General features: G+C 41.7%; 2 long non-coding RNA genes across 2 annotated transcripts in view, besides 1 other annotated feature; one reads left to right on the top strand and one right to left on the bottom strand.

Moving 5' to 3' along the window:
• The window catches only part of TMEM252-DT (TMEM252 divergent transcript), a 103,426-nt gene that overhangs the window by 1,606 nt on the left and 78,634 nt on the right, over positions 1–23,186 (bottom strand). The window contains exons 3-4 of the long non-coding RNA NR_187592.1: positions 16,998–17,204; positions 9,585–9,806 (exon numbers count right to left, since the gene is read on the bottom strand). This is a non-coding gene — a long non-coding RNA (TMEM252 divergent transcript). The remainder of the gene's footprint in view (positions 1–9,584; positions 9,807–16,997; positions 17,205–23,186) is intronic.
• Positions 3,570–3,659: a silencer, noted in NCBI's record as "silent region_19927". NCBI's record gives its function as "represses an Ori minimal core promoter by ATAC-STARR-seq in GM12878 lymphoblastoid cells {active_cell/tissue: GM12878}" and the evidence as "EXISTENCE:reporter gene assay evidence [ECO:0000049][PMID:35858748]".
• On the top strand, positions 7,842–16,348 carry LOC105376071 (uncharacterized). The gene is made up of 3 exons (XR_929902.3): positions 7,842–8,076; positions 8,163–8,384; positions 15,813–16,348. It is a non-coding gene; the product is annotated as an uncharacterized LOC105376071 (long non-coding RNA).

Below are 23,186 nucleotides of genomic sequence, written 5' to 3'. Positions count from 1 at the left end.
CTTTTTGCCTGGGGACTAGACTGCCTTTGTAGGACTGAGAAATTAGCCACAAGGTTAAAAATTATGATTTAGAAGTCATGCAGCTGGAGGCTATAAAATTCTGACCCTCCCTAAACTTCTCCTAAGATTAGTGCTTGAGATATTTTGCAGCCCCTGCACTTAATGGATCATCTGGCACCACCCAGATCGATAAACTGGCTCATCTGATCTTGTGGCCCCCACCCAGGAACTGACTCAGTACAAGAAGACAGCTTTGACTCCCTTGCTTTCATCTCTGACCAATCAGCACTCCTGGCTCACAGGCCTCCCCCTACCCACCAAGTTGTCCTTAAAAACTCTGATCCCAGAATGCTCAGGGAGACCGATTTGAGTAATAATAAAACTCCCATCTACCGCACAGCCATCTGTGCGTGAATTACTCTTTCTGTATTGCAATTCCCCTGCCTTGATAAATTGGCTTTGTCTAGGCAGCAGGCAAGGTGAACCCACTGGGTGGTTACAAGTAAACCAAAAAAATTAATAATAGGAATTCCCTATTCTTGACAGTTATGCTATCTTGCCCCTAGGAAATGTCACTTGTTAGGCATGAATTGCCAAGCAGAGAAGGAAGATGGCAAAGTTTACAGGAAGGAAAAATGTCAAGGCTCCTTTCACCAAACAAGGAGATCCTGGAACCCAAAGCTGGAGACAACTCTGTATCACATCCTTCACATCCCACTCCAGGCTTTCAAACATAAAATGAGAATTGGCCAGTTTAAGGATTCTAGAATCCACAAGACTCTATAGCTTCAGTTGTCCCCCTCATTCATGAAGTCATACCCAAGCGCTTAGCTCTCAGGGATATCCACTCCGGTGATTTTCTGCAGCACTCTCAAGGAATAAAGCTCATAAAGAAATTCCTTATAGTGTTGCATAGCACATTTTGGGTTTTTGTTTTGTTTTGTTTTAAGATGGAGTCTCACCCTGTCACCCAGGCTGCAGTGCAGTGATGCAATCTTGGCTCACTGCAACCTCCGCCTCCCGCGTTCAAGCAATTCTCCTGCCTCAGCCTCCTGAGTAGGTGGAATTATAGGCGTGCACCCCACACCTGACTATTTTTTTTTTTTTTGTATTTTTACTAGAGATGGGGTTTCACCCTGTTGACCAGGCTGGTCTTGAACTCCTGATCTCAAGTGATCCACCCGCCGTGGTCTCCCAAAATGCTGGGATTACAGACATGAGCCACCACACCCAGCCATAGCATGTTTGTATAGTTACTGCATTTCATCGCCACTAAACTTTGTGAGGTAGGCTAGGGCATACATTAACTTTTATTTTTATTATTTCTTTTCTGTAGACATGGAAATTGACCCCTAGAGAGGTAAGTTAACTTGCCAAAGGCACTGGACAAATTTGGGGTAGTGCTGGGACCAGTACTCAGGACCTTCAGCCGTAAGACCTGATTTGTTCTATGACACCATGTCCCTCCCGTCAGCATCAAGAGATGTTTGTCCAGAGCCTGGGAGGTATAGGCCTTTGAGCAAAGCTCTCTGGATAGGAAAACAGATGTGGTCTCCACCCTGGGAAGGATTTCTATTTTCTTTGGGAGATGACCCTTATTCTAATCCAATTACTTACCACACAAATAGTTCATTGGTTTTTTGGAAATATATTGCAAGCACAATCAAGTTTATACTTCTTTTCTGTGCCCCCAGGGATTTTATACATTGCCCCACACCCAGCAGGTGCTTTGTGTGTTGGTTCAATGAAGCTTACATTAGAGACTAAGAGTGGCAGTTTGATAGAAAGAGTGGAGACATTGGAACCTGGTCTGTGTTCACGTCCTGCCTCTGCACTTTCTGGTTGTGTGACCTAGGCAGGCATCTGACCCCTCAGTGCTTCAGGTACCTCAACTATGAAAGGAAGACCTTAGTAAATACCACACAGAGTGATGCAAGGACTGTGACATAATACAGCTATGGTCTTGAGTATACTACCTGGCACAGAGTAAGGAGGCAGGAAATGTTCACTATACTATTATTAGGATGTGTACCTTATCATCTTCCTAATACTTTCAGCTTGTCATTGTTGAGCCTGCAAAGTTTCCTGTATGTATTTCAGCACATGCTTCTGTAGAATCTAATTGCAGGTGGTTCTCTTTTCTTTTCATTCAGGCGAGGAGGATCATCACATTCAAAGCTATAGTTCAACCAAGTGCAACTTAGCACTGTAACTTCCTTAGCTACAGTCATGCCTATTAATAGGATCAACCTGGGACCTTCTTGGCAGGTGTCAACTCCACCCACAACCAAGTTCACCAAAAACACAAGTTAAATTTGGAACAGGAGGCTTTGAACAAGATGCCCCTGGTTGCTACATGTGGTACTCTTACCCTAAATGCAGTGGCTAGGGGAGCTGCATTTTAGTGTTACGATACTTCCGATAGGACCAGCAACTGCTAGAAACTGCTAGAATCCTATTCAAAGGATTCCTGGAGCTCCTTTAATAGAGCACATTAGTGTGGACCAAAGTCATTTCCCAAAGAGTGGGACCCCCTAAGCCCCCTGTGCCAAAGTTGGACACAAGGGCTCATAGAGTCCGTCTGCTATCTCACAAGATGCTTCTGAGCCCAGATGATTTCAGCTCAGTAACGTCCAATCTGCCTGCTTGTTTTCCCTTCTGCTTTCCCCAAAGCAGCCTCAGAAAAAAGGAAATGTTGCCTGTGTTGAAATGGGGCCTCTGTTGGAAAAAATAAAACACAGTTTCACTGCAGGTCAGCATACTCAACCCTACACTCTCCTCGTAATGGAATATAAAGCAATGAAACTCTTTCGGGTTCATTACTTGGAACTCTATCAATTTGTCTCCAATTTACTCATTCCTTTGATTCAGGTAGGAGAGAGCAATGATGGCCTTGACTTCCAGAGTCACCTCCCACCTGGGATTTCTCAGGCCCAGAAGCACACTCCTTTCCATTGCTTTAACTCTTAATTCCTCTCCCCTGCCCCACTGCATAGAAATTAGCATGAGTAGACGTGTCTATCTCTACTGTGAACTATGTACTTAGCATAAAATACCTTTAAAATAACTTGATAGCAGCTCAGCTGTCTCTGGAAATATACCCAGTTGAGCCTTTTAATTATAAGATGTTTGTTGTTCCCCCGGTATTTGAACAATTGCTTTTCTAATTTCTGAACCTACCTGTAGCTATATTTTTTGAACTCTTAGGATATGCTAGGCTCTGCACTATCTGATTTAAACCTGACAAAGTCTCCATGAAGTAGGTATGACTGTTATACCCATTTTACTGTTAAGAAAAAAAAAGGGAAATTAAGTAACCCATAATGCTAACTTTTCTGCCTCAGTGCCTCCCTGTTATAACAGGCTGTGGGCTTTTTTTTTTTTTTCTTCCTCTCTCTCTCTCTCTCTCTTTTTTTGGTTGAGACGGTGTTTCACTCTGTCGCCCAGGCTGGAGTGCAATAGAGCGATCTTGGCTCACTGCAACCTCCGCCTCCCAGGTTCAAGCAATTCTCCTGCCTCAGCCCCCCGAGTAGCTGGGATTACAGTCATGCGCCACCACGCCCAGCTAATTTTGTATTTTTAGTAGAGACGGGGTTTCACCATGTTGGTCAGGCTAGTCTCAAACTCCTGACCTCAGATAATCCACCCACCTCAGCCTCCCAAAGTGCTGGGATTACAGGCGTGAGCCACCACACCTGGTCGGGCTTTGTTCTCTTTACGGATGAAAGCACCTTGAGGGTGGGGACCAAGGCTTAAAACTCTGCCGAGTTTTCAGTTGCATCCCTATTACCAGGTGGGAGTTTCACAAATGCTACAATCAGTCCAGTTCTCAACAATAATTTATACAAAGTGCATATCTATTTAGAACTTTCTGGGTTTGAAACTTAGTATCAATCCCTGTGGAGTACACAAAGGAAGTACATCATCTATTTGGGGGGTATTAGTCCCTATGAAACAGGAAAACCAATTAAATGTTTAAACTAAAAATAAATGTTTCAGCCTCCAGAGAAAGGGGAAACCTTCACTGGGGAGGTGGTGGGATTTCAGGTGGCCCTTGAAGAACCAGGCCAATGTCAAGAAGTGGAGAGGTGGGAGAATGAGGAATAAGGTGTGGGAAAAGGCAGTCTTGGGGGAAAGAAAATGGGGAGTTGGCCTGTAACAATAGAATATGCACATTGTAATTTCTTTCACCATCAAGGATGAGAATTCTAGAAGGCTTATAGAGACTTCTCTTGATTAGAAAAAAAAATACTTCTTAGCTCACCAAACAGATTTTCCTCCAGAGCCTGGTATAGGAGGCAAAGGACCCATATAGGGCAAGTTCCAGATACAGAAGGAACTGGTCTTCGCCTCCTTCTGGTTCTGGTGTTCTCTTTGACCACCCTTTTCTATTTCCAATTATTTTTCTCTGAATTTAGTTTTTGCAAGTGGAAGATACAGAAGCTTTATGAGCAGAATAAAACAACCAGGGTTGGCAGCCTTGCTCTCAACCCTCTAGCTGTGTGTGATCTTTGAGGAGGATGATAGCAAACCTTGGTTCAGCATGTCTTGTGTGCTAGGTGATGTGTTAGATGATGTGCCAGGCATTGGGTGTGTGTTAAGTCATTGCATCTTCACAAGTAAGGTGGGTCATTACCTATTACCACTGCCCTTTTGTGACAAAACAGAGGCTTAGTGAGATTAAGTAATTTGTCTAAAGTCACACTGCTGGTCAATAGCAGAGCTGGGACCCCAGCACAGATGATGTGACCTCCAAGTCTGCTCTTAGCCCATGCATTACTACTTCCCAAGTCACTGGACTTCTTGGAGCTCCAGTTTCCTCATTTGCAAAGCATTCATAAATATTTAATGAATATTAAATAAATATAACAAAATATTCATAAATATTCATACTGTCTCCTATGGTAGAGAGTAGGGAGAAGTAATGTGATAATGTAAGTAAAACATCTAGCCTGTCCTTGGACATACTGAGTATTCAGAAGAAGCATCATTATTAGTTTTTGCCATTCAAAAACAGTGAATGCTGAAATTGGCTCTGTCTTGGTTTATGGCTTTACACTTCTTTGAGGATTCTGTAGACACTCTGGAAGCACGGAGGACACTTAACATATTCTCGTATCTTTCTCAACCTCTGTGATTTTTTTTTTGAGACAGAGTCTCACTCTGTCACCAGGCTGGAGTGCAGTAGCGTGATCTCAGTCCACTACAACCTTTGCCTCCTGGGTTCAAGCGACTCTCCTACCTCAGCCTCCTGAGTAGCTGGGATTACAGGCATGCGCCACCGCGCCCAGCCAATTTTTGTATTTTTAGTAGAGATGGAGTTTCACCATGTTTGCCAAGCTGGTCTCAATCTCTTGACCTTGTGATCTGCCTGCCTCAGCCTCTCAAAGTGCTGGCATTGCAGGTGTGAGCTACCATGCCCGGTCAGTGATTTTTTTTTTTTTTTTTAATGACACACAACTATTTTTTAACTTCTCTTTCTCTTTCTCTTTTTCTATTTGTCTTTTGCATAGCTTTTCAGATCTCACTGAAGGTGAAACCAGGAAAGTACTTCACTCAGAGGTGAGTGTATAGGTAATAAATATGTGGAACAAGACTCTATTGTCCTCAGGTAAAGGTGGGTGACCCTAGGTGCCCTTAGGTAAGCCATTAAAAACTGTTCTACCAAATACTCACATACTGGGCAGGTGTTTGAGCAGGTGTGGCAGCCTTGGGGCAGATGCCGAATGTGGCACACAAGAGGTTAGTGGATATAGTTACACCTTCATAAAACAAATGCTATCTCCCCTGCCGGGTCTTAGCTACAGAGGCGAAAAATGAATATTTTAATTAGTTTCAGCTTCCAAAAGAGTCGTAGGCCAGACTTCCGAATCTGCCTCCTATAGGGAAAACACTTTCAAATTCTACCACTTGGCAAAAAATCCCTCCCAAATAAAACCCCAAAACAAAAATTACATTTCTAACTAAACAAGTAACTGTGCTTCTTAGACAGACAGCTTCATTACGCATTCAGCAGCTTGGATTGACACAATCTTGGGCAAAAGGGGAAGAGGCAAGAGGTGAAGCTGAGCTGTGTTTGGAAGTACAGCTCATAAGGATGGCAGAGAGATTGGAAGGGGTGGGGAAAAATCAAAGCTGATTCCTATTTTTTTCTCCCTGAGCAACTTGTTAGATTATTTAGGTCAATGATGCTTTTAGGAATTAAAATTTTGCATTTTAATATCAGTTTCACTTTTTCAAAGAGCTTTCGTCTCTCCACCCCTGTTGACATAAATGATCACACTGAGTTTTATCTAGGTTAGTTTTAGAAGAGACTAAGTTCAGGGATTTCTGAGATAAAGAGAGGAATTTTATTTTATTTCTTTGCCTCAGGTAGCATTCAATATATAAATATTTCTCTTCATTAAATCCTAATCAAGTTTAACTAAACTTTCAAGACAGATGGGGAGATGTTATTTTAATTATAAAAGGTATCCACACAAACTTCTTTAAAGCAGTGGAGTTTTTTTGGTATTCATTTATGTATTCAACAGATATCTTTGAGCTCTGACAATGTCCAAACACTGTACTGAGTGCTCCACGCACAGTGCTGCAGTGAGCAGCCTCTGGAGATGTGTGTGAAACATGCAGATATGGTTCTGAATCATGATAGATAGAAGGAGCGGGAATAATGGTAGGTGGAGAAAAGCCCCTTTGTTTTGGGTGGTCAGTCAAAGCTTCTATGAGGGAAGAATATTTATGCCAAGACTTGGCAGATACCAGGGACCCAGTTGGGTAAAGAATGAAGCAAAGAGAAGAGAGGAGAGCAGGAATGCATTTCTGGAATAAGGAACAGCATTTGCAAAATTCTGGAGGTGTAAAAAGTTTGGCAAGTTTGAGAAACAAGCAGTGGGGCTGGAGCGTAGGGAATCGGGGGAGAGGCTGAAGAGCTGAAGATGAGGTGGAAGTGGGGCTACATTGACATGACCTACTGAGAGACAATCACTTGACAGAGGATGAAGGAAGTCACAGCTATCTGATTAGGGACCCACTGTTCATGTAAGAACTATCAGAAATGAAATGATCATTTTCCCTGTGAAATTATAAACTCAGTCAGTGGAGAATTGATTCAATTTTCATAAAGTCATTTCAAATTTCATATAGATTAATTTCATATAGTCATGCAATATCTGCATGTTTCACACACATCTCCAGAGGCTGCTCACTGCAGCACTGTGCGTGGAGCACTCAGTACAGTGTTTGGACATTGAATAAAATGTGGCACACTTATTTCTGTGCAAGTTAAGAACTTGTTGGGTGGCTTGCTAGCAAAATTTTTCTCCCTTAACTCTAGGGAATAATATCTGGGCCACAGTTTCCAAACTGGTGTTCCACAAGCTGACTTTGGTCCACAGGCATAGCTTCTTTGGCCCGGACAGTATTTTTACAAAATCTAAATAAGTTGCAGGCCAGGCGCAGTGGCTCGTGCCTGTAATCCCAGCACTTTGGTAGGCCAAGGCAGGCAGATCACTTGAGGCCAGGAGTTCAAGACCAGCCTGGCCAACATGGTGAAAACCCCATCTCTACTAAAAAAAATACAAAAATTAGCCGGGTGTGGTGGCACATGCCTGTAATCCCAGCTACTCAGGAGGCTGAGACAGGAGAATCATTTGAACCCCGGAGGCAGAGGTTGCAGTGAACTGAGATCACGCCACTGCACTCCAGCCTGGGTGACACAGTGAGACTCTGTCTCAATAAATAAATAAGTTGCAGCAGCTGAAACTGCTATGTGTTCAGCAAACCTATTTCCTTCTACAGTTGGTGCACAGCTGCACTACGTTTCCCTGCGTCCCCAGCAAGTAGGAGGAACCATATGACGAGTTCTGCCAATGGATATGAACAGAAGTGCTGGTCACTGTTTCCAGGCCTTGATGGTAAAAATCCTCCTCCCAGCCCTCCACGTTCTCTATCTGTCCCCATCTGCAACTGAATGCAGAGAAGGAAGGTGTCATAGAAGATGCAGAGCCACATGATGAAAGGAGCCTGGCTCCCTGGATGGTGGAACAGTCTCCACAATGACCCTCATTGGACTGTGATGTGAGTGAGATTGAAACATCATTGTGTTCGCCACTGGAATTTGAGTTTGTATGCTGCAACAGTGTCTTTGTTTGGGTTCCTCCCAGGATCAGGTTCTGAGATATGGATTGGTGTCCAAGTAGTTTATTGGGAGGTGATCCCAGGAAACATCAGTATACAGGCAAGTGGGAGAGTGAGAAGGAAAAGGGATGGATTCCAATGAATGGCACATTATCTACCAGTTTGTACTGTGGCAGCTGGAGCTCAGTCACACAAGGAAACTCTGGGAGGCAATACAGGACATATCTCAGAGCTATCCTAACTGAAAGGTAAGACTATCTATCATATTTATATACTTTCCTCTCATTGTTTGAGAGCTGCTTCCAAGGGCATTAATGTTTTAGCATTCCTACATGTGCTGAATGCAGGTCAAGTGTGTGCACAGTGTCTTCAGGCAGAGTTGAAGGCAGTCACACTAGGCAGCCTCACCTGCAGAGGGGAGTGCTGAGTGGATATGAGTGGAGCACCAACAGCATCTGCTAAGAATGTTTAGCACACACTGTGGCCAAGACTTAAAATTAGGTGACTTAACATAAAATTGGAGTTTCTGACTTCCTCCAAAAAATAAGAAGATAGTCAACATTGAGCCTACATTTCTGTATGGCAATAACTGGCTGGAGCTGACTAGTGATTGACACTTTACATGGGGGTAGGGTCTCTAATCTCCATGGTCCCCATAACCCCCACCAATCCTCTCTGTCACCCAGGCTGGAGTGCAAAGCCATGATCTTGGCTCACTGCAACTTCTGGCTCCTAGGTTCAAGTGATCCTCCCACCTCAGCCTCCTGAGTACTGGGATTATAGGCGCCACCACACCTGGCTAGTATTTGTATTTTTAGTAGAGATGGAGCTTCATCCTTTTGGCCAGGCTGGTCTTGAACTCCTGATCTCAAGTGATCCGGCCGCCTTGGCCTCCCAAAGTGCTGGGATTACAGGCATGAGCCACCGTGCCCGGCCTACTGGCCCACCTTATGATTCTTTCTGTAGGCATTTGAATCTGTAACCCCAGGCCTTCTACTAGAACAAACCTTGTGTTTTGTTCATTTCCTCCCATCTTTCTCAATCCAGTTGCATTTTCTTCCCTCTGTACCCCACTTCAAAAGCTTCTCAAAATGTACTTTCTTGATGAGGACTTCCCTGACCACTTCACCATACTTCTATGGCCATCTATAGCTGTGCCATCCCATATGGTAGCCACTGGCCACATTTGGCTATTTTAATTTTAATTTCAGTTAATTAAAGTTAACTAAGCTAATAAAGATAATTAAAATTTAAAAATGAGTTCCTCCATCATACTAGCTACATTTCATGTGCTCCATAGCCATAGGTGGGTAATATATTGGATATGTCACATCTTGGACAGCACAGATACAATACATTTGCATGATGACAGAAAGTTCTGTTGGACAGTGCTGACCTGTATCATAATTCTTCTTGTAGGTGCTTTATTGTTTTCCGTAAGTATTTACCTCTTAAGGTGAAATCATCTTTAAAAAATGAGAGCCAGTGTGTTCCACTTGTCTCATATTCCTGCTCACAGTCAAGTACCTAAGCGATTGCTTGTAGTATTATTGCTGATGTTTCTCAAGTTGCTGAATGAGGTGCGGTTACCAGCGTCCCCTGTAGTCCCATTCAGGGAGACATTGCTCGCTCTCCTGTCCTCTTCAGGCTTATTTGGAAGTCTGAAGACGCTGCCTAGGGAGAAAAGAGACAGGGATTTCAACATCATACTCTTTTAGGATTGGAAGGAAACTCATTAAGGCCACTTATTGTTTCCTACTTTAAAAAAAAGTAACCTGTACTTTGGTGATTTATTTTTTATGTCTTTATTGTATTTAAAATTCAGTAAGAATTGGGACATGAAAACATCACGGTAAAACATCCTGATTTGGGAGTTTGACAAACAAGGGTGGGATCGCAGCTCTGTCATTTATTAGCTACAAGACTTCACACCATTTACTTGCCTTCTCTAAGCCTCAATTTATTCCAAGGAGAATAATAACAATATCTACCTCATGCAGTTTTGATGAGGATTAAATGAGATAAATGCCATAGGAATTATTGTTATCAACAAAAAAATCAAATCCAAAGGAAAAGCAAGCAAGGTGAGAATAGACCTACAGTTGTGTGCCTATTGGAAGGGATCAAAGCAGATCATGCATTCAGAAAATTCCTTCCAATAGAAATGTGTGCACAGTTGCAGGGGATCCATTTTACAAACACTAATTTCCTTGGAAAATATTAATGTATTTTCATTAGCGTGGAGACTAGAGACTAGAGTTATGGGGCTGGCATTGCACCCTCCCCTTGCCCTACTCTGCCAAACAAATAATATCTCAAATTAAAGCTGCCTTTTGGTGGAAAAAAAAAAAGGATAATGGAAATAGGATGACCAGGAATAAAAGGACTGGAGAGCTCCAATCACTCAGTTTTGGGTCAGAAGATAAAATCATTATGGGGAATGTCTATCTCTTTTTCTGTCTTCGCTGTCCATATGTTTTATATGTTTGAAAATAATAGAACATTCTGAATGCAATTATTGCTTTCTTTCTCCAAAGAGGTAAACAGTGCCTGGGAAGGTTAATGTTCTCAAGCACCTCTCAGGCATGACTGTGTCCTTTTCTTGGTCATCAAGCTGTGAAAAGTCACAGTGCTGTCCAATAATCTCATGGAGAAACAAGCTAAAGGCACTTCCTTCTGGACAGAACAGATCATGCTAGGCCTGCCTACAAATGGCATTTTGGCTGGTGGCCATAATGTCATGATGAAACTTGGTTTGGGCAGAGGCTCAGAAGTGGCATTTGGGAGATTTTCCTTCTTCAACTGTGTACATTTGATCGTTTGGGAAAGATGCTCAAAATCAGTTGCAAAGTGAAATAAAGTAGATTACAAAAGAGCATGTGTGATATGATCACATTCTGTTACAAGAATGAGAGACTAGTTGGAAAGTGTCTAATAGAGTTCTTTGTAGCTGTAGAAATTCACAAAAAAGGAATTTATTGGAAAGATGTGGAAGTTGATACAAGTATGAGTTAGGTATTGCTGCATAACAAACCACTTCAAACTTCGAGGCTTAGAACATGTATTTAGCTCGTGATATAAGGTCGTCTTCTTCATGTATCTGAGGTCAGCTGTGTGTGCATGAGGTGGTTCTACTTCTGAGAGTTGGCTGAGACTCCTGTGCTCTCCTCCAAGTGGTTTGTTATCCTCCAGCAGCTGACACCAGTTTTGTTCTTGTGGCTCCAAGAGAGACTGGAAGCACACAAGCCCTCTAGAAGTTGAGGCTCTGAGCTGACACACTTCACTGTTCCTGCATTCTACTGGCTAAAGCAAATTGCAATGCATCCCAGATTCAAGGGGTGGAGAACTAGATTTCAGTTCTTGATGGGCCTCTGTCTCTTGCACAGGGCATGGTATGGAGGCCACTAGTTGAGGCCAAGAATACAATCAATTTCCCGTATTAGAATTGAAGGAAAAGGTGAAGAATTAGTTCTCAGGAGGCCCAGGACCCAGAGCTGCTCCAGGTGTCTGAATGATATGTGCCAATGAGTGATCTCATTAGTGTTCCCCTCTCAGGAGGAAGAAACTCCAGCATTGTCAGTCTTCGAGGGTCACTTAGCTAGAGACTGAAATCACAGCTTGGTCACCTGCCTACTGCTTTGCCAGCAAAGGACCTGACACCTGGGTTGGTAGCCCCACTAGAAATGATATTCCATTGATTGAGTGGCTATCCCCAGAGCAAAATGTGGGTGTGGCTCCCTGAAGAAGGCAGAATGAATGCTGGGTCTTTCATACCAAAGTACTTTCTTTATACACTAAAATGTTAACAATAGTAATATCTGTATGTTGGATTCATGGAAGAGGTTTCTGTTTGTTTGTTTGTTTGTATGTAATCCTGAATTTTTCTAAGGAATGTGTATTATTTATGTAAGTTTTTAAAAAGTTACAGGAAAAACAGTTGTAGAAACCCACAATCATGTAGCAGGACAGGTGTAGTGGAGAGGTATTTGTACTTCAAGTCTTTTTGCCTCAGTTTCTTTCCTCCTCCCCCCTTTTTTCCTCCTCCTCTGTCTCTTCTCCCTCCTCCTTTTTCTCCTTCACCATCTCCTTCTGCTACTACTGCTACTACTACTGCTAGGCTTACGCACACACATGCACACACACAGACACATCCCTTCCATCACATTCCAGAAAGGAAACTGCTTTGAGTCTCTGTCTTCTCATTTGTAAAATGATAGGAAGAGAGGAGATTGTCTCCAAAATCATTTCCATTTATAAGTAATGGTTACACACATAATTCTGATTTTCCAGATAATTTATTCTATATCCTGACACTTTCTCTTTGATTGTCCTAATATGCTATATTTTATCTCTAAAAGCAACTCATCTCTGTTCTAAAAGCACATAGAGGGAAGGGTTTCTTCAGCTCCCTCCTCTTTGGTCCCCATCACCAGATGCTATGATAGTTGGCTGGAAGACCATAGAGATCTAACAGCTATTAGTGCTCAAGGCTCAGGCCTTACCTACCAGAAATCAGTCTCCAAAGAAAATATACCTCCTCAACCTCCACAACACCCCCAACACTAATGAAAGAGAGAGCGCTCTCTCCATATACACTTTTGGAAGCCATTGATGAGGGCTTTTGCCTTGTGGGTTGTAATTAGGGTTACCAAATAAAAATACAGGATGTTAAGTGAAATTTGAATTTCAGATAACCAACAGTAGCTTGTTAGTGTAACTTATATCCCATAAATTGCAGATATTGCCAATTCGAATGGGGGCATACCTATCCTAAAAACGTATTCGTTTTTATCTGAAATTCAAATTTCATTTGCTAAATCTGCCAACCCTAGTTGGAATAGATTCCTGCTGTTCTTTATCCTCCCTTTACCACCCCAGACTCAGGAACAGAGAAAATATATGACCTCTGCCAGACTTTGGCCAAAGAAAGTCCTAAAACTTCTAAATATTTTGAAGCATCTGAAAGAAATCATGAGCAAATATTTCTCATTTCCTTGTGGTCATGACAGTCTGAACCAGGAATTAATGTCTGGTTCTAAATTCAGAAATAAAGCAGTTCTTTTTTTTCTTGTTTTTATTTTTTTCCTTCACAAAAGTATCACATATATTTTTAAAAAATTTAAAACAAGTAAAAACTATAATCAACCAGATGTAGCACAAGGGAGGCCAAGTGAGATGTCTGCAGTTTCTTGGACACTCCAATATTGAGAGTGAGTTGCCTTGGTTTAAGGATATAAATAGTTCCACCTGGAGATCAATACCCACCCTAAAGAAAAAAACACATAGACATTCGGCTTCATGTCCCATTTGCATGTGAACTTCACAGGAGTTCATTACTGTGTGTCTCCTCATTTCTGAGTGTTATAATGAAGTTACTGCTGGACTGGGAGGCCAAGGGTCAGATCTCAGAGCATGGGATAACATGCAGACAAAGCCAGCGCAGTCTTGGCAGCCTTCCTCTAGGTTCACCCACTGTATCTTCATGCTTTTATCTTTCTAACTTCAGCATGCACTTGGAAACCTCAACACTTTGAACAAGAATAAACTGGGGGAAAACTGTTGCTGTGAGCACTCTAGATAAAGTGAGCAGGATATTTACATAGAAAGACTTGAACTTCTTCAATTAATAATTATTGGTAATAAGTTTACATTGTTCTAAAATATTCATAACAATCCTGGAGACATAGATACATAAAATTGAGTCTTAAAGACCTTCATTAACTTACTTGAGGTCATACCACCAGTTTCAACATAGGCCAGTTTAACTCCAAAATCTATTTTCTTCCCCACTACCATACCATATTGCTCTTTATTTCCGAGAGTTGCAAGCAGGTGTTTTGTAGGTCAAATCTCGTCCATGAACTAATCTGACATTAGGCAATATTGTTTCACCAGTATCACTTTTTTCAACCCTTGAATTTGAATGTCTTTAGGCTGGACATACACTTCCCACTTTGTCAACAGTCACCACCACTCTCTATCATGTTACACTTGCCGCTAATCACATGTTTATGTTACCTCTCTGGCCACCACAGACATTCGAGTTTGCAATTCCAGGTTTGGTGTCCAAAAAGTGTTTTTACCAATACCATTTGATACTCAGAATGACTGTATAGGAGAAATGGTAGATTTCATAAAGATTGATGAAGAAATGTGCTCAGTAATGCAAGATGTTTTTCCAGAGGAGTCCCCCACCAACAATTAGCAGAACCAGTGCCATTTTCAATACATCAAGATCAACATCCTACACTGAACATTCTTAGTGACCCATAGTCTGGGTGAAGGTCATTACACTCTCAGGGATTTGAATTAGAACACAGGTAAAGCTAAAGAAAGTGGGAGAAGAACTTGGAATTAGAAAAAGCCCAGTTCAAAGATAATTTGTATTTTACTGACATGTTCAGCATAGTATGAACTCTGGCTCTGCCGAACATCCAGTCTGCCTCATGTACAAAAGTTGCTGATCCAGGGGCCGGGTGTGGTGGCTCATGCCTGTAATCCCAGCAATTTGGGAGGCCAAGACAGGCGGATTATGAGGTCAGGAGTTCGAGACCATCCTGGCTAACACGGTGAAACCCCGTCTCTACTAAAAATACAAAAAAATTAGCCGGGCATGGTGGCGGGTGCCTATAGTCCCAGCTACTCAGGAGGCTGAGGCAGGAGAATGACATGAACCCAGGAGGTGGAGCTTGCAGTGAGCCGAGATCACGCCACTGCACTCCAGCCTGGGTGACAGAGCAAGACTCTGTCTCAAAAAGAAAAAAAAATAAAATTTGCTGATCCATTGCAGGAGAAAGTTATAGAGAAATGTACTTCAATTGTATGCCCTAAATAAACTCCATGGGGCCCCATGTAAATGAAGGAATGGCAATAACTAGGAGTGGTAGTTGTTTCCCTCTCAGTCATTGTACTTTTGAATAGGAGTCATTGTACCAACCGTTTAACATATTCATATGTTCCTGGTACTAATGAGGTTGGTCTATTTTAACCTTTTTTGACAAGGAAGAAATGGCAGGCAGGCAGGTGTCCAAAGCACTAATCTATGAAAGGACAGTTTCCTCTGTGTTTGCAACAGGTGGAATGCTTCAGCCGATAGAACTGTATTCTTTGTTATGTTTCCTAAACAGAGCACAGTTTAGTCCTCAAATTTGCCAAGCAGGTCCATTTGCACACCTCTTGTTCACATTATTTCCTCTGACCATTCCAGTCAGAAACCATGAAATCAAAGTCACCTCATTTGTTTTTTGTTTGTTAGACACTTATGTAGCGTATCTTATGTGCCAGAGACACTTTTAAAGGAACAGCTCATTTAAACCTTGTGTTAGCTGTATCAAGTAGGGACCACTATTATCCCCATTTTACAGATAATGAAACTGTGGCACAGAGTGGTTAAGAAACCTTCCCAAGTCACACAGCAAATATGTGGAAGAGCTGATCCTCTTGACCGCTTTGCTATGTGCTCTTATCTTGGTCATGTGCTGCCATAACATGCATATCTTCGCTATACCATTGTTAATTCTTCTGATTGCCAGGGGAACATATTTTCCTACTATTCCCTTTATACATTTTCCTTGCTGTTCTTGTGCTGAGTTGGCATTGATATATCAGCCAGGTTTTATAAGTGTTGGGAAAGCTCGCCATGGTGTTCTGATTATAACTGCATGTGTGTCCTGCAGACCTGCTTTCATCCATCACTGATGCATGAAATAGAGCACCTTTAATACAGCACCTGAGACCCCAAAAAGTTAGGCCAAGTTGGTGCAAGAACACAAAGAACCATGGACTCGCTAATTTTCAATAGATGACCAACTGCCACCTGAACTTCTGAATGGGTTTTTCTCTGAGCCCACCTGATATGCTCTACTTCAGTGGGAGGTGGGCAGTGATAAGAAGTCAAGAAGACTTGAATTCCTGCCAACTGAGAGACAGCTGAAGGAAATGGGAACATTTATCTTGGAGAAGAGAAATATGGAGGCCTCAAGGACTGGCATCAGACAGCTGACTCGCTGCTATGTGCAAGAAGGAGTGGGCTTATCTTAAGTTGTCCAGAGTGCAGTAGAAAATGGAAACTCTGGGCAATCAGATTTCAGCTCAATGTAAGTGATTTCTCTCTATTGTTGTTTTGTAAATTTTTGAGAAAATGGTTTTAAGTGATAGAAATAGCAACATACTCTTTATAAAAAATAAAATCAAACAATAACAAAATGTCTAAGGTGGAGAGTAAAAGCCTCTTTTCCTTTACCCACTCCCACTCCCTAGGAATACCCTTGATATCTATCCTCCCATGTCCCCTATCTATGCACATGTAAACGTGCTATCCATACATATACATATGCCTACTACGTGTCCCTATAAATTTCCTGTATTTTTGTCTGTTTTCAAATATATGGCCATAAAATGGGTATATCTCAGAATGTAATGAACAAGAAAGGCCCTTTAAGAGTAAATTTCTGTGATTTCCAAATGTTATTTTACAGAGATGCCCTGCTGAAGGATCTGAAATATATGACTTTAGTTATTGACTGCAAATATTCAAGTTGTTCCACAATTTTAGTTAATCTGACTTGACTTTTTTTATTGAAAAAAATTTACCAGATACCTACAAAACGGAAGTAGGCATTTTGTACTGATACTTATTCTTAAGAGAAAGGATATTCAAACAATTTAAGCTATTCAAAAATGGATGAGCTGCTTAGACGTTTTAGCCACTGGCTATGTTCAAATAGAGGCTGGTTGACCAGTTGGTTACAACGTTATAGAGGTGATTAATGCCACAGATGGGAAGGTGGGGAGAGTTGGACTGGGTGCTTTCCAAGATCCATTCAGTGCTCTGATTCCCTGACTTCCTATGCTCTGCTTACCTGGGCAGTGAAAGATTGCAGGTGGTGCCCTATGAAGAGGAGCAGCCAAATGGCTCCTGCTCCCCATGGCAAGAACCGCAGGTGCACACACAACCTGGCTGGGTCCAGGGCCACTCACTGACACGTGGCTGGTGGACAGAAGCGCCTGCAGGCAGTAATTCTTGTTCCAGCTGCTCTGTGAGCATTCGGGGCTTTCAACTTTGGTACCTGGATTTAAAAGAAAACAAATTCCTTTCTAAACACTGCAGGTTTGAAATTGAAGCTAATACTGTACATTCTTAGGAGCCTGGCAGTGCAGGAAATTACTCCTTCACCTGTTTCCTATTTTGACATTTCATTAAGATGGAATTTAGTGGCTAGAAAAAATAATATTAAAATATTTGACCTTAAAAAAAAACACTGGTTAGAGTCTTCAATGTTTAGAACTCCCTCGGCTTGTGCTTCTTTTCCTTTTGAAAAAAAATATATAACTCCTAGAAAAGTTGCAAAAAGAATATGTCAAACCCCTGTATACTCTCACCTACATTCACCAGTTATTGACATTTTGCTATATTTGCTTTCTCTATATGTACATTTATTATTATTATTATTGTTAGGAACTATTTGAGATAAGTTGCAGATATCATGACCTTTCCCACCTAAACACATTGGCAAGTGTCTCCTAAAAACAAAGACATAGTGCAATGATCAAATTTAGGAAATTTAACACAGCTTTGAATCTCTTACTGAATACAATCATATCCAAGTTTTGCCAGTCTTTCCAATATTGGGGTTTATAACATGTTTTCCCAACCCAGGACTTTGTATTTCTACATAGTTGTCATGCTTTTTTTTTTTTTTTTTTTTTTTTTTGAGACGGAGTCTTGCTCTGTTGCCCAGGCTGGAGTGCAGTGTGCTATCTCGGCTCACTGCAAGCTCCGCCTCCCGGGTTCACGCCATTCTCCTGCCTCAGCCTCCCAAGTAGCTACAGGCGCCCACCACCACGCCCAGCTAGTTTTTTGTATTTTTAGTAGAGACGGGGTTTCACCGTGTTAGCCAGGATGGTCTCCATCTCCTGATCTCGTGATCTGCCCACCTCGGCCTCCCAAAGTGTGGGGATTACAGACTTGAGCCACCGCACCCAGCCAGTTGTCTAAGAAGCCAGTTGCTTCTTTAGTCTCTTTTATTTGAGAATGAAAAGGCTCCCAATTTTTGTCTTTTAAGACACCAGCATTTTTGAAGAGTGCAGGCCTATTTTTCTGTAACATATCTCTGGGATTTGTCTGGTGTGAGATTCAAATTATGCACACACTGTGTCCTTCTCAGTGTGTCACATTAGGGGGCACCTGATGTCAGTTTGCCCCATTGGTGGTGAAGGTAACTTTGATCATGTGGTTAAAGTAGTATCCGTGTGACTGCTCCACTTCTGGGGAATCTCTCCCTCTTTAGAATAAATAATCTATGGGGAGGTACTGGTGGTGTCACCCAGATTTCTTCACTCTAAAACATTTTTCCTTTGTGGTAATAATCTTCAGGAGGATAATTTTAGACTGGGTAAATAGCTTGTTTACAAACAAACTTGTTTTAGCATCCATCCATGGCCCTTGCCTGAATCAATTACAATATTGTTATAGTGGATCAGTGCTTTTGGAAATGAGAATATTTTCATATCAAGGTTTCCTCGCTGCACTCCCCACCCCCACACATTATCCCCCCTAACACCAAAAGGGATCCCCCAGCCAAACCATCTGGGCCCATATATGCCAGCTATGACTAAAGATCCCTGATAGCATCTCCTCCCCTCCATCCTCAAGTCTGAGATGTTCCTGGGGGATAAAGCAGCTATGGAGAAGCAAAGAGAGCCCTACACTGAGAATCAGAGAGCTGACGACCTGCATCTCCACTTGGAGGTTCCATGGGTTGCTCTAAATGAGCATGTCCTAAACTGAACTTGCTGACTCCTACCAACCTGTGCTTACACCAGCATTCCAATTTCAGTGAATTCACTGCCATTTACTCAGATGCCCCAGCCAAAAATCTGAGCAGCATTCTGTTACTCCTTCCTCTTCCCCCTTCTCCACATCTAATCAACAACTAAATCCTGTGTGATGAGACTTTCCAAACATCTCCAAGAATTTGTCCCCCTTTCTCCATCTCTATCACCACCACCTGGTCTAGGCTACCTTCACCTCTCACTCGGTCTTCTGCAATAGCCTTCTGCCTCTCCTCCTGCCTCTCCTCCTGCCTCTAAGGTTTTCTGTGCTGCAATCCATTCTTCTCACTTCAGCCAGAGTGACCTTTCTGAAGTATAAATCTGATCATGTCCTCCCAAACCTAACCCCCATTAAGCCCTTTGGTAGCTCTCCATTGCTTTAAGGACCATTGGTTAAAGTGGTAAGTCTAAATTCTCTAACATGGTGTACAAGGTCCCTACAACACAGAGTTGGAGGGAAATTTCCACGATGGCACCTCTTTCTTGCCTCGTTTCTGGCCAGACAGATCAAGCTGGGCACAAGCTGACATATGTCTGGAATGTGTTTTGTAGGCATACAAAGTAATCATCTCTTGGGAAATCATGGAAGCAATCTTGACTTGGTCATTTCCAGGACTCTAACTGGATAAAGCTGCCCCCAAGCTGTGGATCCTCTTCTTAGTTGGAAGAGAAGTACCTTGAACAGTTTGTTCTTCAGGACAGGTGAAGCCATTGAAAAAGATAAGCAAACATGGGATGCACCATGATCTCACAACGGGCTTGAATAAGAATGGCTACCACATTTATTCTATCTTTTATTTTTTTGAGATGGAGTCTTGCTCTGTTGCCTAGGCTGGATTGTAATGGCACAGTCTCAGCTCACTGCAACCTCCACCTCTCGGGTTCAAGTGATTCTCCTGCCTCAGACTCCCGAGTAGCTGGGATTACAGGTGGCTGCCACCACGCCCAGCTAATTTTTGTATTTTTAGTAGAGACGGGGTTTTACCATGCTGGCCAGGCTGGTCTTGAACTCCCGACCTCAGGCGATCCATCTGCCCCAGCCTCCCAAAGTGTTGGGATTACAGGCATGAGCCACTGCGCCCAGCCCACATTTATTATATCTTGAGAGAAAAGATATTGCAAACACATTGGATATGACAGAGTTTCACTCTTTTGCCCAGGCTAGAGTGAAGTGGTGCAATCTGGGCTCACTGCAACCTCTGCCTGCCAGGTTCAAGTGATTCTCCTGACTCAGCCTCCCAAGTAGCTGGGATTATAAGCGCCTACCACCATGCCTGGCCAATTTTTGTATTTTTAGTAGAGACGGGGTTTCACAATGTTGGCCAGGCTGGTCTCGAACTCCTGACCTCAGGCGATCCACCCGCCTTGGCCTCCCAAAGTGCTGGGATTACAGGCGTGAGCCACTGCGCCTGGCCTATTTGTTTACTCTTTCTGACTAGCATGTGCATCCCAAATCTCAGAGCAAGCACATTCCTCTGTTTTTATGCTATATTAGTGGTTTTGGGACAAACATGCAGAGAAATATGAGATCTTGGCTACTTTTTCTCTCCAAAAAGTCAGACTACATTTTAAATATTCTCTCCTTAGGCCAGAACTCTTCGTCCATTGAAGAAACTTTTAAAAATCTGTAAGGCACATTTCTTATAAATGTTTAAAAATCCTCAAGAATGTTGAGAGCTAGGCAGAACGATAAAGTATGATTAATAGCTACCTCTTACTGAGTATTTACTGTGTCCCAGGTACTATATTAAGAGTTTTCTTTATATTTAACTCATACAATAAGCTTTAAAATTAATTATTTTGTTCCCATTTTGCAAATGAGAAAACTGAGGCACAGAGCACTTCAGCAACTTGATTAAGATCACAAGATTTGGATTTTTAAAATTAATTTTTTTTTTGTAGCAATGAAATCTCACTGTATTGCTCAGACTGCTCTTGAACTCCTAGGCTCAAGCAGTCCTCCTACCTTAGCCTCCCAAAGTGCTGGAATTACAGGCGTGAGTTACCGTGCCTGGCCCAAAAAATTAGGAATTAAAAGCAGCACTATCAGATGTCAAAGACCATGTTCCTACTCAGTGTGTTGTATGTCTCAGCAAGCTCTCATCTTTCTCCTAGAAGCCCACCTCCTTCATTTTAGGACCTTCCCTCCCTCCCTCCCTCCCTCCCTCCCTCCCTCCCTCCCTTCCTTCCTTCCTTCCTCACATTTACATTGCTAGGTGTGACTTCAGAAGCCATCTACCACACTTTTCTTTTTCTTTTTCTTTTTTCTTTTCTTTTCTTTTCTTTTCTTTTCTTTTTTTTTTTTTTTTTTTGACAGTGTCTCTCTCTATCTCCCAGGCATGATCTTGGCTCACTGCAACCTCCACCTCTCACGTTCTAGCCATTCTTCTGCTTCAGCCTCCTGAGTAGCTGGGATTACAGGCGCCTAATACCACACATGGCTAATTTTTGTATTTTTAGTAGAGATAGGGTTTCCCTATGTTGGCCAGGCTGGTCTGGAACTCCTGACTGCAGGTGATCCACCTACCTCGGCCTCCCAAAGTGCTGGGATTACAGGCATGAGCCACCGCGCCCGACCATCTACCACACTCTAGATCCCAATTGTCCCACTGTTTTCTAGATTTTACCTTCTATTCCCAATCGAAAGTGTCCTGTGCCTCATTCTTTTAGGACTACTGTTTCATGCTCTATAATACCTTTAGTGTCTGGTAGTCAGGTATTCAATAAATAATTATGAACATCACTGTGTGAGACCAATGTGATTCCTATACACATGGGGTTTAGCAAATACTTGTTGGATAAATGAATGAATCCTGGAATAATCTAATGAGCAAATAAATACTAATACACAATTAGTGACAATAGAGGAAGTTTGAGTAGAAGACAGAACATGAGTTCTGGAATAAGAAACCTGGATTTGGATTCTGGCACGACTATTTGGGTTGTACTTAGTACTATTCACCAAATAAATATTTATGGCTGTGGTCATTTCAGGCATTTGGTAGTATTATATCTTGCACTGCTTAGTATTTTCAAATTTCCAAGAGGCATAGGTCTTTGGGATTGGGGAACAAGTCAGGATTTTTAGTTCTCAGGAACCCTGAAGTCATAAATTATTCATTTTTCATAATCTTTTTTTACATGTATTTGTATAATAATGAGCGGCCATAATTGTGAATACTAAGTCATTTTTCTGTGATAGGGTTATGCTATCAGAAGTTTTCTATTAGAAATGACATAATAATAAATGGATGGCGTATTATTACTGTGAACTGATTTATTCCAACAAGAATATATGTTTCAGTAACATGTAAAAATAATCTTCTTCATATAGACATCTGATACTAGAAAATATTAAAAGATGGAGATAATAACATAAGATAAATAGCAAGTAAAAATTATTACTAAAATGAAATATATTACCACAAATACTTCTATAAGTTATCATTATTAAAATGAAAATGTAGAACCCACAAAGAATTATTTGCCTAGCCAATTTCCTGCCTTGCATGGACATTTGTTCAATTGTGAGGATTGCATACAAAAGCATCTTCAAGCTGAGTTTTAGAACACCTATTACTTCATGTAAGTTATTTGTTTTTTTAATAATGAAAATAAAAATATTTGCTTTTCTTGTCTGCTAGTTCTGGTTTTGATTTTGCCATTGAAATTGATATTGCTTTTGCTAATTCAGGTTTTTGTACAGTCTCTGATTTCCTGTCGGAGTCTTCCACAACATTCATATCATCTGCTCCTTGCATTTCTTCAGTTAAAATATTTACAAAGAACTGTAGCCTAGAGGGAATATTCAAAAACTGAAAAACACCAGTCAACATTACTGGGTTGTATTCAAATAATATGACATTCAGATCCCTTAGCAAAGTTAACAGCACTAAATAGAACCATGCATTGAAACTGCCAATTTAAGGACATTTGTTTTCAAAACTGGTTTCTTAGAACATCACTCATAGGATTTGTATGAAGTACACTACACATACAAACTTACTGATGTTTACTTTATTTGCAAGAATGAGTCACCCAGCAGGCAAAGCCATGAATACACACTTACAATATAACAATGCTACAAACAAGACTGATTAGATGATTCTCACTTCTCTAGTCCCTCCTCCTATCCTGGTTCCCAGAAATGTTGACCTTAACCTTTGATTTTCCCCATTAGCATTTTTTGGTCTTGCTTTTCGAATCAACATGAGTAA

The sequence above is a fragment of the Homo sapiens genome, chromosome 9 (assembly GCF_000001405.40).
Source record: "Homo sapiens chromosome 9, GRCh38.p14 Primary Assembly".
Lineage (NCBI taxonomy): Eukaryota > Metazoa > Chordata > Mammalia > Primates > Hominidae > Homo > Homo sapiens.
Note: the sequence above shows the minus strand (reverse complement) of the source record. Positions and strands in the feature narration are given on the sequence as shown.